Source organism: Homo sapiens, chromosome 14, assembly GCF_000001405.40.
Source record: "Homo sapiens chromosome 14, GRCh38.p14 Primary Assembly".
Lineage (NCBI taxonomy): Eukaryota > Metazoa > Chordata > Mammalia > Primates > Hominidae > Homo > Homo sapiens.
Genome location: NC_000014.9, coordinates 21,113,222 through 21,131,283, shown reverse-complemented (window position 1 = coordinate 21,131,283; position 18,062 = coordinate 21,113,222). Strand labels below are relative to the sequence as shown.

Sequence of the window (18,062 nt, the reverse complement as noted above, 5' to 3'; positions counted from 1 at the left end):
AAGTCTTTATTTTGAGTTGATTTTTGTATATAGTGTGAGGTAAGGGTCTACTTTTATTTTTCTCCATGTGGACATCTAGTTATCCCACTACTGTTTATTGAAGAGAGTGTCCTCCTCCCATGTGTGTTCTTGACATCTTTTGTGAAAATTGGTTGGCTGTAAATATGTGGATTTATTTCTGGGCTGTCTATTCTATTCCATTGGTCAATGTATCTGTTTTTATGCCACTATCATGCTGTTTTGATTACTATAACTTTGTAGTATATTTTGAAGTCAGGCAGTGTGATGCCACCAGCTTTGTTCTTTTGGCTCAAGATTGCTTTGGCTATTAGGGGTTTTTTTGTGGCTCCCTATAAATTTCAAGATTTTTTTTTCTGTTTCTGTGAAGAATGTTATCGGTATTTGGTAGAGATTTCATTGAGTCTGTAGCTCTCTTTGGATAGTATGGACATTTTGACAATATTAATTCTTCTACTCCATGAACATGAATATCTTCCCATTTATTTGTCTTCTTCAATTTTTCTTTCTTTCTTTCTTTCTTTCCTTCCTTCCTTCCTTCCTTCCTTCCTTCCTTCCTTCCTTCCTTTCTTCCCTCCCTCCCTCCCTCCCTCCCTCCCTCCCTTCCTTCCTTCCTTCCTTCCTTCCTTCCTTCCTTCCTTCCTCTCTCTCTCTCTCTCTCTCTTTCTTTCTTTTTTTTGAGATGGAGTTTCACTCTTGTTGCCCAGGCTGGACTGCAATGGTGAGATCTCAGCTCACTGCAACCTCCGACTTCTGGGTTCAAGCGGTTCTCCTGCCTCAGCCTCCCAAGCAGTTGGGATTACAGGCATCCACCACCATGCCCGGCTAATTTTTTGTATTTTTGGTAGAGACAGGGTTTCTCCATGTTGGCCAGGCTGGTCTTGAACTCCTGACCTCAGGTGATCCACCTGCCTCGACCTCCCAAAGTGCTGGGATTACAGGCGTGAACCACCTCGAGGTTTTATAGTTTTCAACATCTATATCTTTCACCTCCTTGGTTAAATTTATTCCTAAGTATTTTATTGTATTGTATTGTATTTATTTTTGACAGAGAGCTTTGCTCTTGTCACCCAGGCTGGAGCACAGTGGCACGATCTCAGCTCACTGCAACCTCTGCCTCCCAGGTTTAAGCGATTCTCCTGCCTCAACCTCCCGAGTAGCTGGGACTGCAGGTGTGCACTACCACACCTGGCTAATTTTTGTATTTTTAGTAGAGATGGGGTTTCACCATGTTGGCCAGGCTGGTCTCGAACTTCTGACCTTGCCCGCCTCAGCCTCCCAAAGTGCTGGGATTACAGGCGAGAGCCACTGTGCCCAGCATGTTTTATTTTATTTTCTGAGACAGGGTCTCACTCTGTCACCCAGGCTGGAATGCAGTAGAATGAACATGGCTCACTGCAGCTGCAGCCTCCTGGATTGAAGCAATCCTCTTGCCTCAGCCTCCTGAGTAGCTGGAACCGCAGCCGTGTGCCACTATGCCCAGCTAATGTTTTGATTTTTTTTTTGTAGAGGCAGGGTTTAGCCATATTACCCAGGCTGATTTTGAACTCCTGGGCTCAAGTGATCCTCCTTCTTTAGCCTCCCAAAGTGCTGTAATTACACACATGAGCCACTGCACCTGGCCTTTTTTTTGTAGCTATTGCAGATGGGATTGTTTTCTTGATTTCTTTTTCAGATAGTTCACTGTTAGTGTATAGAAACACTATTGATTTTTGTAATTGATTTTGTATACTTCAACTTTACTGAATTAATCTATTAGTGCCAGCAGTTTTTCTGTGAAATCTTTAGAATTTTCTATATATAAGATCGTGCTATCTGCAAACAGAGACAATTTGACCTCTTTCTTTCCAATCTGGATGCATTTTGTTGTTTTTTTCCTCTTGGCTTATTGCTCTAGCTAGGACATCTAGTACTACGTTGAATAGAACTGGCCAGAGGGGGACTCCTTGTCTTGTTCCTGATCTTAGAAGAAAAACTTTCAACTTCTCCTTATTGAGTATGATGTTATTGAGTATGATGTTAGTCGTGGGTTAGTTGTATATGGTCTTTATTGTGTTGACTTACATTCCTTGTATACCTAATTTGTTGAGTTTTTATTATGAAAAGATGTTGATTTTGTAAAATACTTTTTCTGGATCTATTGCAATAATTATATGGTTTTTCTCCTTCAGTCTGTTAATGTGTTGTATCACATTTATTAATTTGTGTATTTTGAACCTTTCTTGCATCTCAGGGATAAGTCCCACTAGATCATGGTGAATCATCTTTTCTTCTGGGCTGTTGAATTTTGTTTGCTAGTGTTTTGTTGAGGGTTTTTTTAATTTAAATTTTTTGTGGGTACATAGTAGGTATATATATTTATGGGTTACAGGAGATATTTTGATATAGGCATGTAATGCATAATAACCACCTCAAGGTAAATAGGGTATCCGTCACCTCAAGCATTTATCCTTTGTGTTTCAAGCAATCCAATTACATTCTTTTAGTTTTTTTTAAATGTACAATTAGATAATCTTTTACTCTGTTTTTACCTAGCAAATACTAGGTCTTATTTACCTAGCAAATACTAGGTCTTATTTATTCTTTCTAACTATTTTTTGTACCCATTAACCATCCCCCTCCCCTCACCCTGACTACCCTTCTCAGCCTCTGGTAACCATTCTTCTACTCTCTATCTCCATGTCCATGAGTTCAATTGTTTTAATTCTTAGCTTCCACAGATAAGTGAGAACCTTTACTGAGGATTTTTGCATCTATGTTTATCAGGAATATCAGCCTGTAGTTTTCTTTTTTTGTAATGTCCTTATCTGACTTTGGTATCAGGGTAATGCTGGCCTCATAAAATGAGTTTGAAAGTATTCCTTCCTCTTCAATTTTTTTGAAAGAGTTTGAGAAAGATTGGTATTAGTTCTTTAAATTATTGGTAGAATTCAGCAGTGAACCATCAGGTCCTGGGCTTTTCGATGGAAGATTTATTATTATTATTATTAATCTTCTTACTTGTTATTTGTCTCTTCAGATTTTCTGTTTCTTCAAGCTTCAATCTTGGTAGATTATATGTGTCTATGAATTATCCATTTGTTCTAGGTTATCCAATTGTTTTACATATAATTGCTTATAATAGTCTCCTATGATCCTTTTTATTTCTACTGTATCAGTTGTAATATCTCCTTTTTCATTTCTGATTTTATTTATTTATTTGAGACAGGGTCTCACTCCGTCACCCTGGCTGGAGTGCAATGGTGTGATCATAGTTCACTGCAGCTTTGAACTCCTGGGCTCAAGGAATTCTCCTGCCTCAGCTTTCCAAGTAGCTGGGACTACAGGCACAAGTCACCATGCCCAGCTAAATTTTATTTATTTTCTGTAGAAACAGGGTCTTGCTTTTTTCCCCAGGCTGGTCTTGAACTCCTGGCCTCAAGTGATCCTCCTACCTCAGCTTCCCGAAGTTCTGGGATTACAGATGTGAACCACTGTGACAGGCCTGATTTTATTTATTTGAATCTTCTCTTTTTTTCTTAATCTAGCTGAAGGTTTATTGATTTTGAAATCTTTTTAAAAAACAAACTCTTCATTTTGTGATATGGTTTGGCTGTGTCCCCACCCAAATCTCATCTTGAATTCCTACATGTTGTAGGAGGGATCCGGTGGGAAGTAATTGAATCATGGGGGCAGGTCTTTCCTGTGCTGTTCTTGTAATAGTGAATAAGCCTCACAAGATCTGATGGCTCTATAAGGCAGAGTTTCCCTGCACAAGCTCTCTGTTTGCCTGCTTTCATTATGTAAGACGTGACTTGCTCCTCCTTGCCTTCCACCGTGATTGTGAGACTTCCCCAGCCATGTGGAACTGTAAGTCCATTAAACCTCTTTCTTTTGTAAATTGCCCATTTTTGGGTATCTTATCAGCAGTGTGAAAATGGACTAATATGTTTTGTTAATATTTTTTGTTTGTATAGTCTCTTATTTCATTTATTTCCACTCATATTTTTATTATTTTCTTTCTTCTACTAAATTTGAGCTTAGTTTGTTCTTGTTCTTCTAGTCTCTTGAAATGCAATGAGATATTAGATTGTTTATTTGAGATCTTTCTTCTTTTTAGGCATTTATTGCTATTGACCTCTGCTGCTCATCTTGTAAATTTTTGTTTTTGTTTTTTAGAGAGACAGGATCGCACTCTTTCACCTAGGATGGAGTCCAGTGGTGTGATCATAGCTCACTGCAGGCTCCAACTCCTGGGTTCAAGTTATTCTCCTGCCTCAGCCTCCTGTGTAGCTGAGACTACAGGTGTGCACCACCACAAACAGCTAATGCATCTCATAAATTTTGATATGTTATGTTTCCATTTTCATTTGTCTCAAGATGTTTTTAATCCACCCCACCCCCGACTTTTTAGACATTGGGGTCTTGCTGTGTTGCCCAAGCTGGTCTCAAACTCCTATGCTCAAGCAATCCTCCTGCCTTGGCTTTCCAAGGTGCTGGGATTACCAGTGTGAGCCACTGTGCCTGGCCTCTTAAATTCCCTTTTAATTTCCTCATTGACCCATTAGTTTTCTAGGAACATAATATTTAATTTCCATGTATTTGTGAATTTTCTGAAGTTTCTCTTGTTACTGATTTCTAGTTTTATACCGTTGTAGGCAGAAAAGACACTTGAGATAATTTCAATCTTCATAAATTTGTTAAGACTTAGTGTTTGTGGTTTAACATTTGATTTATCCTGAAGAATGTTCTACGTGCACTTGAGAAGAATGTGTATTCTGCCATTGTTGAATGTATGTCAAATCTGTATATATCTGTTAAGTTTATTTGGTCCAGAGTGTAGTTTAAGTCCAATGTTTCCTTATTGATTTTCTGTCTGAATGATCTCTCCATTGCTTCAAGTGGGATATTGAAATCTTCTATTACTATTGTATCATAGTCTATTTTTCCCTTCAGATCTATCCATATTTGCTTTATATATTTAGGAGCAGCAGTCTCAACCTTCTTGGCACCAGGGACTGATTTCGTGGAGGACAATTTTTCCATGGGTGGGTAGCGGGAGGACAGATGGTTTTGGGATAAAAGTGTTCCATCTCAGATCATCATCAGGCATTCGACTCTCATAAGGAGTGCGCAACCTAGATGCCTCACATGCAGGGTTCACAATAGGGTTCGCACTCCTATGAGAACCTAATGCCACTGCTGATCTGACAGGGGGTGGAGCTCAGGCAGTAATGCTTGCTCACCTGCTGCTTATCTCCTGTTGTGTGGCCCAGTTCCTAACAGGCCACCGACTGGTACTGGTCTGTGGCCCAGGGGTTGAGGACCCCTGTTTAGGAGCTTTGATGTTGGGTGAATATACATTTACAATTGTTGTACCCTCTTACTGAATATTGAATTGACTTGTTTCACTACAGAATGACCTTCTTTGTCTCTTTTTATAGTTTGTTTTGTTTTTTTTTTTTTTTTTAGATGGAGTTTCCCTCTTGCCACCCAGGCTGGAGTGCAGTGGCATGATCTCAGCTCACTGCATGCTCCACCTCCTGAGTTCAAGTGATTCTTATGCCTCAGCCTCCTGAGTAGCTGGGATTGCAGGTGCCCATCACTATGCCCAGCTAATTTTTGTATTTTTAGTAGAGATGGGGTTTCACCATGTTGGCCAGGCTGGTCTTGAATCCCTGACCTCAGGTGATCCACCTGCCTTGGTCTCCCAAAATGCTGGTATTACAGGGGTTGCCACTGTGCCTGGCTTCTTTTTATAGTTTTGATTTAAAGTCTGTTTTATCTGATATAATCACAGCTACTCCTGCTCTCTTTTGTTTCCACTTGCATAAAATGTCTTTTTCCATCCCTTCACTTTCAGTTTATATGTCTTCTTACAGGTGAAGTGAGTCTCTTGTAGGCAGCATATAATTGGGTCTTTTTAAAAAAAAATCCATTCAGCCACACTGTATGTCTTTTGATTGGATAATTTACTACATTTACATTCAGGGTAATAATTGATAGACTAGGACTTAACTGCCATTTTGCCAATTGTTTTCTGGTTGTTTGTAGATAGTTTGTTCCTTTCTTCCACTTTTGCTATTTTCCTTTGTGTTTAAGAGATTTCTGTAGTGGTATGTTTTGATTTTTTACTCTTTATTTTGTGTGTGTATCTACTATAGGTTTTTGCCTTGTGGTTACCATGAGGCTTATAAAAATACCTAATAGTTATAACAGGCTATTTTAAGCTGATAATAACTTAACCTTGATTACAAAAATAACTCTACACTTTTACTCCACTTTCTCATTTTGAATTTTTGATGACACAATTTACATCTTTTTTTCTTTTTTTTTTTTTGAGACGGAGTCTCCCTCTGTCACCCAGGCTGGAGTGCAGTGGCATGATCTCTGCTCACTGCAAGCTCTGCCTCCTGGGTTCACGCCATTCTCCTGCCTCAGCTTCCCAAGTAGCTGGGACCACAGGCGCCTGCCACCACACCTGGCTAATTTTTTGTATTTTTAGTAGAGACAGGGTTTCACCATGTTAGCCAGGATGGTCTCGATCTCCTGACCTCGTGATCCACCCTCCTTGGCCTCCCAAAGTGCTGGGATTACAGGCGTGAGCCACCATGCCCGGCCACAATTTACATCTTTTTATATTGAATATCCCTTAATGAATTAATCAGCTATTATTGTTTTTAATAGTTTTGTGTTTTAGCCTTCATACTAAAGATATAAGTGACTTATATACCAAAATTACAGTATTAGAGTATTATGAATTTGACTCTGTACTTACTTTTATCAGTGAGTTTTATACTTTAATATGTTTTTGTGTTACTAATTTGCATCCTTTTCTTTCAGCTTAAATAACTCTTTTTAGCATTTGTTGTAAGACACATCTGGTGGTGATGAAATCCTTCAGCTAAAACAACCTTTTTTATAAAGATGGGAGATACTATAACATATTTTTAGAATAATAGGAATAATCCTACAGAGGAAGAGCTTGATGATGCAGAACAGAGAGGGTATAATCAGAGGAGCAAAATCTGTGAATAAAGAAGAGAGATTGGAGTTTAGTATACAGATGGGGGGATTGGTCTTTGATAGTAGTGAGAAAAATTTATCTACTGTAATAGGTGAGAAGGTAGGCAGGCTACAGATCCAAGTAGTTTGATAGCTTTGGTAAGGGAAGATGAATCAGTTTTCAGTTGGATTCTTCTATTTTCCCAGTGAAATATAAAGTGACTTATAAAATTAATTATAGTCATTCCTAAAATGGAGATAATAGTGTTTGCTTCCAAGGGTTAATGTTCATGCGTGTAGACCCCCTAAAGTATGTAGGCCATGGCTAAATTTTCTGTACTGAAATCTTGACTAGGCCGAATAGCTCAGCAAGAAACAAAACTGAGAACTAGCCAAGTTATATAAGATGCTTCGTATGTGTTTCATAACTACTTTGAATTTCTATGGCACAGAAACAATATATGAACCTAGAATGCAGGTGTTGTTAGTTGTAGTGACTAAGTCTGATAAACACTCTCTCCCGAGGTCCCCAAAAGAAGAAAGATCTGCTGTTCTCTGCCCTTACTAATGAAGTCACTGAACTTTAGGTGCCATTCCATGAGTAACATGGGAAAGTCTGGGAAGCTGTTCCACTTTTTTCTCATTTTCAAAGTCCTCATTCTCTCACCCTCAAAGTCCTTGAACTTTGGCCAGCTCTTATAGCCTGTTCTAGCCTGTGTGTTCACTTTAGAATTTGTGTTATCATTTGATTTGACACAGTTTGTTGGGGAAAAGGAATGGTTTAAACAGTGCATTAAATCAGTTACATCTTTTGTGTAATAGGAAAAAGACAAATTGTTTTTTCCTACTATGCTGTCAACATAACACTTGTGGAACAACATATGTGAGCTTCTCTCTCATACCAACCAATTCTTTGACATCAACTGGGTGTCTTACAATTTAATTCAGTCCTGACACTATCTACCTGGGGTTAGGGTGAGATCTCACAAATTAAGGGCTCAGTCCCACAGACTTCAGATGCCAGTGGCAAGTCTGGATCTTTGGAATTTCTGACCAACTAGCTATAAATTGGAGGTTCCCTTGACCCCATCTCCGGTTTGATAATTTGTTAGAGCAGCTCCCAGAATCGGGGAAACACTTACTTAATGTTTACTGATTTATTGGCAAGAGTATTACAAAGTATACAGATGAACAGCCAGATGAAGAAGTACATAGGGCAAGGTATGGGGAAAGACGCATGGAAGCTCCTTGTCCCCTGGGGGCACCCCACCCTTCGGTGTTCAGCAACCGTGAAGCACTCCAAACACCGTTCTTTTGGGATTTTATGAAGGCTTTATTATATAGGCATGATTGATTCATTGGCCATTGGTGATCAACACAAACTTCAGCTCTTCTCTCCTTATGGTAGTGGCAGAAGCACTGGCTGAAAGTTCCAACCCTCTAATTACATGGTTGGTTCCCCGGTATCCAGCCCCTATCCTAAGGCTGTCCAGCCCCCAGCCATCAGTTATCTCCTTAGAACACAAAAGACACTTATCACTTTGGAGATTCTGAGGGTTTATTTCTTAAGTCACAGTATTCATCAATCCCTCTTGATTCTTGTTATAATTCCCTTATGCTTAGAGGTCATATGGAAAAATGTCACTTCCAATGTGGGAATCCTTATGACAATGTCTTTGGGATGGCTCTCTAGTGGACTCAAAATTTGCAGTTGGTTGGGAGCCCACTGCCTCAGCTGAGTGACCATTCCTAATATTGGACAGAAACCTCTCTTCAGGTTAGGTTCTACCTATTGGTAGCTATTCTGCTCTCTGGAGTCACATAGGTCTTTATATATGGTGATCATTTTCATTTCACCAGGTTTTCTCTTCAGGCTAAACAACCACTAGAACAATGTTTTTCAATGTAGGTTCTTTTGCTTCAGGATCAACTAAAGATCTCAACATCTCTGGGCTGGAGCTCCAGAATTTGCATTTCTAATTAACTTACCAAGTGATTCCTCTGCACTCTAATGTTTTAGGACCATTGCACTAAACTATATAAGTCTAGGGACCATACCACTCTTTCTCACCACTGTAATCCCCACACTTAGCACAGTGCCTAGAATGTAGTGCTTGATAGTTATATATTGACTGACTGACTGAATGAATGGATGAATTCTGGCAATTGGTATAGATTATCTCTTGAGAAACCATATTGCCTTTACCTTAGGGCAATGGTTCTCAAACTTTGTGGTTTCAGGACCCCAAAGAGTTTACATAGAAACTTCTAGAAAATACAAGACTATACAAGCACATTTTCTATTAGCCATTAGAGTGATGATGTTATCACATGTCTTGTAGCCTCTGGAAAACTCCTCTGCATACTCAGAATGAAAGTAAAATAGGTAAAACAAAACGAAACAAAACAAACAAAAAAATGTGGTATTAGGTAGGGCACCATGGCTCACACTTGTAATCCCAGGACTTCGGGAGACCGAGGCAGGCAGATCACTTGAGGCCAGGAGCTCGAGACCAACCTGGCCAACATGGCAAAATCCCATCTTTACCAAAAAAATACAAAAATTAGCTGGGCGTGGTGGTGCATGCCTGTAGTCCCAGCTGCTCAGGAGGCTGAGCCATGAGAATCGCTTGAATCCAGGAGGTGGAGATGGCACTGAGCTGAGATCGCACCACTGCACTCCAGCCTGAGCAACAGAGCGAGATTGTGTCAAAAAAAAAAAAAAAAGAAAGAAAGAAAGAAAAAAGAAAAAAAGAAAAAAAAAATCTTGGCATTATTATGAAAATACTTTTGACCTCCTAGACTTCTTGGAAGGACTATACTACACTTTGTGAACTACTGCCTGAGGGGATATTTTGGCTGCAGAGGCAGTATAAAATATAGTGGTTAAGAGCATGAATTCCAGAGTAAAATCACCTGGTTACAAATTGGCTCTGTCGCTTACTAGTTATGTGACATTAGTAATCTGAGACATTACTCAGCCTTCCTGTGCTTCATTTTTCTTATGTGTAAAACAGAGATCATAACAGTGCTTGCTTCTTAGGGGTACTGTGAGGACTAAATGAATTAAAACACTAAAATGCTTAGGACAGTGCCAAATATATGTTAATACTAAGCATGACAAAGGTCTATGTAAGTATTGTTATTAACAATATGAGTATCTTTATTATTATCATTATAGATACTACATGATTGTGCATAACTATTATTACCCCAGACCCTTTCCGAAGGCGTTTTCGTGAACACAAACCACACTTGCAGCCCGTTAGTCCTGCAACCCAGTGGCCAGCCAGAATCAGAGGCCACAAATTTGGACAACAGTTCTCTTACTCCTTTTCTGAGTTATTTTTAAACTCTCTGGCTCTGTGTGTTGCAAAAGCAACTTTATTGCAAAAGCAACTTTTAGTCTGTATCTTCTAATATAATTTTGTGGTGTCCTCATTCTCTTCCCTTTTTGAAAGATATTCCTCAGCTAGGCATGGTGGCTGGTACCTGTAGAATCAGCTACTTGGGAGGTTTAAGTGGGAGGATCGAGGCAAGAGGAACTCTTGAGGCCAGGAGTTCAAGGCTGCAGTGAACTACGATTGGACCACTGGACTCCAGCCTGGGTGACAAAGGGTGACCCTGTCTTTAAAGCAAAAGGAACTTCTCTCCTACAATAATCACATATTTGACTCTGCTAGACAACTATGCAAGAGGTGTTTTAAAAATTTCTTTTTTCCCCTGCCCTTTCAACCACCATGCCTGGCCTATTTTTATTTTTATTTAATTAATTAATTTTTTGAGACGGAGTTTTGCTCTTATTGCCCAGGCTGGAGTGCAATGGCACAATCTCGGCTCACCGCAACCTCCACCTCCCAGGTTCAAGCGATTCTCCTGCTTCAGCCTCCCGAGTAGCTGGGATTACAGGCATGTGCCACCATGCCTGGCTAATTTTGTATTTTTAGTAGAGACGGGGTTTCTCCATGTTGGTCAGGCTGGTCTCGAACTCCTAACCTCAGGTTATCTGCCTGCCTCGGCCTCACAAAGTGCTAGGATTACAGCCGTGAGCCACCGCGCCCGGCCCTATTTTTATTTTTTAGACGCAGAGTCTCACCATGTTGCCCAGGCTGGCCTCAAACTCCTGGGCTCAAGTGATCCTCTCTCCTCAGACTCCTGTGTAGCTGGGACTAAATATGGATGACACCGCACCTGGTCAGCATTTGTTTTCTTTATTTTTTAGAGATGTTGGCAGGGGGAGGAGTTCTTACTATGTTGCCCAGGCTGGTCTTGAACTACTCGCCTCAAGGGATCCTCCTGCCTCAGCCTCCCAAGTAGCTGAGATTACAGGTGTGAGCCATATTCCCAGCTCAGATTTTTAAAAAATGTCTAAGCACATGTTTACTGGTCTCTCTGAACATCCTCCTCCTCACTCTTCCTCCTTCATTTTGATAGTTTCTAAATTGTTTGATGTTATTTATCTTTAAAACTCTTTCAATTTTCCCCCAACTAAAGGTTTCATTTAACCAGTAAGAAGAATGTTGGGGGCTAGGCACCATGGCTCATGCCTGTAATCCCAACACTTTGGGAGGCAGAGAGAGATGGATCACTTGAGGTCAGGAGTTCAATACCAGCCTGGCCAACATGTTGAAAACCCGTCTCTACTAAAAATACAAAAATTAGCCAGGTGCAGTGGTGCACACCTGTAATCCCAGTTACTTGGGAGGCTGAGGCAGGAGGTTTGCATGAACCTGGGAGGTGGAGGTTGCAGTGAGCCAAGATCATGCCACTGCACTCCAGCCTGGGTGACAGAGTGAGACTCCGTCTCAAAAAACAAAAGGAAAGAAAAGAGAATTTTTGACTCAATATATTGGTAATATTGAGCTCAATATATGTAAGAGAATCTTTTTAAAAATATTTAAAATTCAGATTATGAAAGCAATATATGGCCGGGTGCAGTGGCTCATGCCTATAATCCCAGCACTTAGGGAGGCCAAGGTGGGTGGCTTGCTTGAGTCCAGGAGTTCGAGACCAGACTGAGCAACATGGTGAAATCCCATCTCTACTAAAAATACAAAAAATTACTGGGCATGGTGGGTTGCGCATGTTGTCCCAGCTACCCAAGAGACTGAGGTGGGAGAATCACCTGAGCCCAGAGGTCAAGGCTGCAGTGAGCTGTGATTGCGCCACTGAACTCCAGAGCCTGGGTGACAGAGTGATCCCTTGTTACATACACACAAATAAAAGAAAATATAAAAATTAAAATGAAACAAAAAAAGAAAGTAACATATATTCACTAGAGACATTTTGAAAATATATTTTTAAAAAAGTAAATAAAATTCACTTATGATCACTCCATTGAAACATAACCACTAATAACATATTGGCATATATTCTTTCAGTAGTTTTTTTTCTATGCAATGTGTATTTTTGCAATAAAATTGAGATCACCCAAATATAGTGTTTTGGTTTAATAATATACAAATATATGATGGCCACTTCCCCTGTTTCATTAGATATTCTACAGCATGTTTTAGAAGGACTCGAGTAATCTAGGATTGCTGTAGAAAAATTAGAACATTAGTTCTAAATGACCACCCAGGGACAACTAGAGGAATTTGATATTTATCTTTCCACACCTTTTTTTTCTGTGCATATACTTCTAGAAAAACAAGACCAATCATTTCTACTGTGGGTTTTTTGTTTTGTTTTGTTTTGTTTTGTTTTTGTTTTGAGACAGGGTCTCACTCTGTTGCCCAGGCTGGAGTGCAGTGGCACAATCTCGGCTCACTCCAATCTCTGCCTCCCAGGTTCAAGCGAGTCTCCTGCCTTAGCCTCCCAAGTATCTGGGATTACAGGTGCACGCCACCATGCCCGGCTAATTTTTGTATTTTGGGTAGAGACGGGGTTTCACCAGCTTGGCCAGGCTGGTTTCGAACTCCTGGCCTCAAGTGATCTGCCCACGTTGGCCTCCCAAAGCACTGGGATTGCAGGCGTGAGCCACCGTGCCTGGCCCTCTACTGTTTTGTAAGATGCTTTTTTTTTCCTGTGATAAAATTCACATGATATAAAATCCACCATTTTATCATTTTAAAGTGCACTATTCAGTGTGGCATTTAGTACATTCACGGTGTTGTGCAACATCACCATCATCTACAGTAGTTCAATAAAATCTTCATCATTTTAAAATTCCATAACCATTGCAAGCATTCATTCCCCACTCTCTCCTTTCCCCAGCTCCTGCTAACCCTAATAGGCTCTTCCATTTCCATGGATTTGTCTATTTTGGATATTTCATATAAATGAAATCATACAATATGTGGCTTTTTGTGTCTGCTTTTTGCACTGAGCATAATATTACATAGGTTCCTATATGCTGTAGCATGGTTAAATAATAAATATGTCATTTCATCATATGGATATATATCACATTTTGCTGATCCATTCATCAGTTGATGGATATTTGAGTCGTTTCCACTCTTTGCTATTGTGAATAGTGCTGCTATGAACATTCATATGCAATTGAGCACCCATTTGATATATACCCATGAATGGAATTGCTGGTCATATGGTAATTCTGTGCTTAACCTATTGAAGAGCCACCAAACTATTTTCCACAGTGATTGCAGCATTCTACATTTCTACCAGCAATATATGAGAGTGCCAATTTTTCCACATCCTTGTCAATACTTGTTATTTTCCTTTTTTATTGAGACGGGATCTCTGTTGCCCAGGCTGGAGTGCAGTGGTGTGATCATGGTTCATTGCAGCCTTGACCTCCCAGGCTCAAGGGCTCCTCCAACCTCAGCCTCCTGAGTAGCTGGGACTACAGGCACATGCCACCATGCCCAGCTAATTTTAAATACATTTTTATAGAGATGGAGGTCTCACCATGTTACCCAGGCTGGTTTTGAACTCCTAGGCTCAAGCAGTCCTCTCACCTTGGCCTCCCAAAGTGTTGGTATTAAATGCGTGAGCCACCATGCTGGCCTATTTTCCATTTTTAAATAGCTCTTCTAGTGGATGTGAAGTGGTGAAGTGGTATCTCACTGTAGTTTTGAATTCCATTCCCTACTCAACATCATTACCATGTCCTTGTTGGCAATTTGTATATCTTCTTTGGAGAAATGTCTATTCAAGTCATTTGCCAATTTAAAAATTGAATGCAGTATGCTTTTCACTTAAAAATATACTACAGGCTGGGTGTGGTGGCTCATGCCTGTAATCCCAGCACTTTGGGAGGCCAAGGCAGGTGGATCGCTTGAGGTCAGTGAGCCAGGATGGTGCCACTGCACTCCAGCCTGAGTGACAGAGTGAGACCCTTTCTCAAAAAAGCAAAACAAAACAAACAAACAAAAAGTCAGTTACTTTACTGTTGGATATCTAGACTGTTTGCCTTTTAAGCTTTTAAAATTAATCTTGTAATGTACATTTCAGTAAGTAACTCTTTGCACATGTCCAAGGTTATTCCTGGGAAAAGTTTTTTTTTTCTCCCAAGTTTCAGATATAATCAGTGTCATTCCCAACACATCAAAGTGATGTATATAGATTATTATAATGCAATATAATTTTGTCTTTATTGATAAAATACAAATAAAATAAACTATAAATATATTTTGTCTTTATTGATTATTATAATATTGGGACCCAGTTTCTTCCAGCGTTCTGACTTATGTCTTCTGTCCCAGCTAACATCTTGATTGAACAATGCCAGATGCTGGACATACAGCGCTGCTCCAGTACCTCCGGATTTCATAAATACGAAGGGGGATGAAGCTTGAATGCTTCTTGAGCCCAACAAGAATCTGGTGGAACATGTCAGTGGTGGCAGCCTCCAGTCCTAAAGGAGGAAACAAACCTGCCTGTCAGGCGCCGGATTAAGTACTCCCTGCACTCTATTCCTGAGAAAAATTCTTAGAAGCAGAATGGCTGGGCCAAAGTAGGCAACTCTTAATTTGTAGATACAAGTCATTAAATTGCTTTCCATTAAAGTTATACCAATTTATAGTCCTACCAGAAATATAAGAAAGTGCCTATTTCCTTGCATAATCATCAACAATGGGTTTTATGCATTTGAAAATGTTAATTATCTGATTGGCATAAAATGGCACCTTATTGATTGAATTCTTTTTCTTTTTATTTTTTTGGAGATGGAGTTTCACTGTATCCCCCAAGCCATGGAGTATACTGGCAAGATCATGGCTCACTGCAGCTCAAGGACTCAGGGAATCCTCTGCCTCCTGAGTAGCTGGGACTACAGGTGTGTGCCACTATCTCATCTAATTTTTTATCTGTAGAGATGGGGTCTCACTGTGTTGCCTAGGTTGGTCTAGAACTCCTGGCCTCGAGCAGTCCTCCCGCCTTGGCCTCCCAAATTACTGGGATTATAGGCATGAATCTCCTTGCCAGCCTATTTTTATTTTTTAGAGACAGAGTCTCACCATGTTGCCCAGGCTGGCCTCAAACTCCTGGGCTCAAGCCATTCTGCCTCCTCAGAATCCTGAGTAGCTGGGACTATATGTGCATGACACCTGCACCTGGTCAGCATCTTATTGCTTTAAATTGCATTTATTTAACTACTATGAATACAAATAATCCTTCATAGATTTATTGGCCATTTAAATTTCTTTCTTTTTTGTAAATTGGCTATTTTGTCTTTATCAATGTTTTATTCTTTTCAATATTAATACTAACAATCTTTTAGCTATATGTTATTCTCTGTCATCCCTCCTTCCTCAACTTTTCATTTGAACTTTACCATTATTGTGATTTCTTTTTTTTTTTTGCATAAAAAGTTTAAAATTTTTGCTGGGCGTGGTGGCTCCCACCTGTAATCCCAGCACTTTGGGAGGCCGAGGATCACCTGAGGTCAGGAGTTCGAGGCCAGCCTGGCCAACATGGTGAAACCCTGTCTCTACTAAAAATACAAAAATTAGCCAAGCGTGGTGGCATGCACCCATAATCCCAGCTACTTGGAAGGCTGAGGCAAGAGAATTGTTTGAACCTGGGAGGCAGAGGTCGCAGTGAGCTGAGATCATGCCACTGCACTCCAGCCTGGGCAACAGAAAAATAATTTTTTTTTTTAAGTATAGCCTGTGTATAGAGTACTAAGAGAGCATTGAAGACCACAATCATGATGATGGCCGCAGAGGCCAAGGGAAGCTTCCCAAAGTGGGTGAGTACTGAGCAGAGGGAGTCCTGAAGGACAGGTGTGGGGCTAGGACTGGATACAACAGCCTAAATAAGGCATGGAAGTAAGAAATATATATGCTAAAGTAAGAATTTTTGACTCAGTTATTTTGACATCATATGACTTTGACTTCCCGCTAGTGGTTTTGTTTGTGGCAGGCCAGGTCTCACTAATGCAGGCCTCCATCACAACTGTTTCAATACTGACTGATTGGTTTAGTTAAATATTATAAACTAAAAAAAGCCAGTGCACTTATACAAAGGCTGGAATGTAACAAAAGCCCATCAAGAGTTTTGCCTAGGCCTTTCCTGGGCCTTAAAGCATGACAAAATAACGAAGGAATTCTTAACAGGACCCATTTAGGATTAAAGAAGTTTCACTGGGGGTCTGAAGAAACTCCCCAGGCCTCTACAAACAAGTTTTTTGGAGGTCTGAAAGAACTCCCCAAACCTCCGTGATTTAGCAGGAGACAAGATAAGGGTAATCACCCCAAGACCTGGACCCATTTAGATTAAGTAATCTAATTTACTGAGGCTTCAGAGGAAAAGTCTTCAGGACTTAGACTTTAGTTATAGATTAAAAGAAGTAAATCACTTGTGTCTTTAGACAAATGCACACTTACATATAGACATATAGCTTAGAAGGTATACAAGCTCTGGAAAACTCTATAATTTTGAGTTGGTCTGGCAATAATTTCCAGGCCTTCTCCCTGTAACTGGTTACAGAAATAAAACTCTCTTCCACTGGCCAGGCAGGGTGGCTCACGCCTGTAATCCCAGCACTTTGGGAGGCCTAAGTGGGTGGATCACCTGAGGTCAGGAGTTCAAGACCAGCCTGGCCAACATGGTGAAACTCTGTCTCTATTAAAAATACAAAAAAAAAATTGGCTGGGTGTGGTGGGCACCTGTAATCCTAGCTACTCGGGAGGCTGAGGCGGGAGAATTGCTTGAACCTGGGAGGCGGAGGTTGCAGTGAGCCAAGATCATGCCATTGCACTCCAGCCTGGGTGACAGACTAAGACTCTGTCTCAAAAAACCAACCAACCAACAAACAAACAAACAAACAAACAAACAAACAACTCTCTTCCTCCTCAGTTCTTCTGCATCTCATTATCAGTCCCGGAGAAATAGCAGCCCGACCCTCAGTTTGGTCCGGGAACAGTTTTTTTATTGACATCTCACTAATGTGTGCAACAAACAGCCCTGACCCTCACCCAGCCCATCACTGAGTCAGTGTTGTCATCATCATCATCCTTGGGATAATCAAAACGAACCAAAAAAAAAAAAAAAAAAAAAGGAGGGAGAGGGAGAGTATGAATTGCAAGGATGAGATGGAGGAGTCTGTCATACATATTAATTAATAATTTAGTGCTTGCTTCAGTAGCACATATACTAACATTGAAACAATACAGAGAATATTAGCAGGGCCTGTGAGCAAGGATGACATGCAAATTCTTGAAGCATTTCATATTTTGTGCAGTACCAGAGACCATTTCACTAATTGCTGAGTAGCACTAAGGAAACAGTGTGAGTCAAAGCAAAATGGGTGGAACCCAATATTGAATTGTGATTTTCACTACACAAGAAAAAAAATTAGGCGGTGTTCACTGGTTGTGGCCTGAAGGAGTCCTACATCTGCAGTCAAAGCTGGAGATGCATCCCCTCACCTTAGGCTGTGACAAATACCCAAGCCATGTCCCAAGACCTGCAGTGGCCTCCAAGGCCCAATTCATGTTCAAAGAGCGAATAAGACAAAGACTCAAGAAACATCTGTTAAGAAGAAAAACATTTTTTGATACAAACAGGAAAATCAGATAGTGTCCAGGCTTTTTGCATCTGAGAATGATAAGGACCTGGGCTGGAATCTGTAAGTTGGCTACCATAGCTATGTA

At 40.4% G+C, this 18,062-nt stretch overlaps 2 pseudogenes, besides 1 other annotated feature; both read left to right on the top strand.

Moving 5' to 3' along the window:
- The first annotated feature begins 6,358 nt into the window (after window positions 1-6,358).
- LOC112268132 (histone demethylase UTY-like) lies at window positions 6,359-12,936 on the top strand (annotated as a pseudogene).
- Window positions 12,000-12,294: a silencer, noted in NCBI's record as "tiled region #11184; K562 Repressive non-DNase unmatched - State 24:Quies". NCBI's record gives its function as "represses a minimal TATA promoter and a strong SV40 promoter by Sharpr-MPRA in K562 cells {active_cell/tissue: K562}" and the evidence as "EXISTENCE:reporter gene assay evidence [ECO:0000049][PMID:27701403]".
- On the top strand, window positions 17,539-17,645 carry RNU6-252P (RNA, U6 small nuclear 252, pseudogene; annotated as a pseudogene).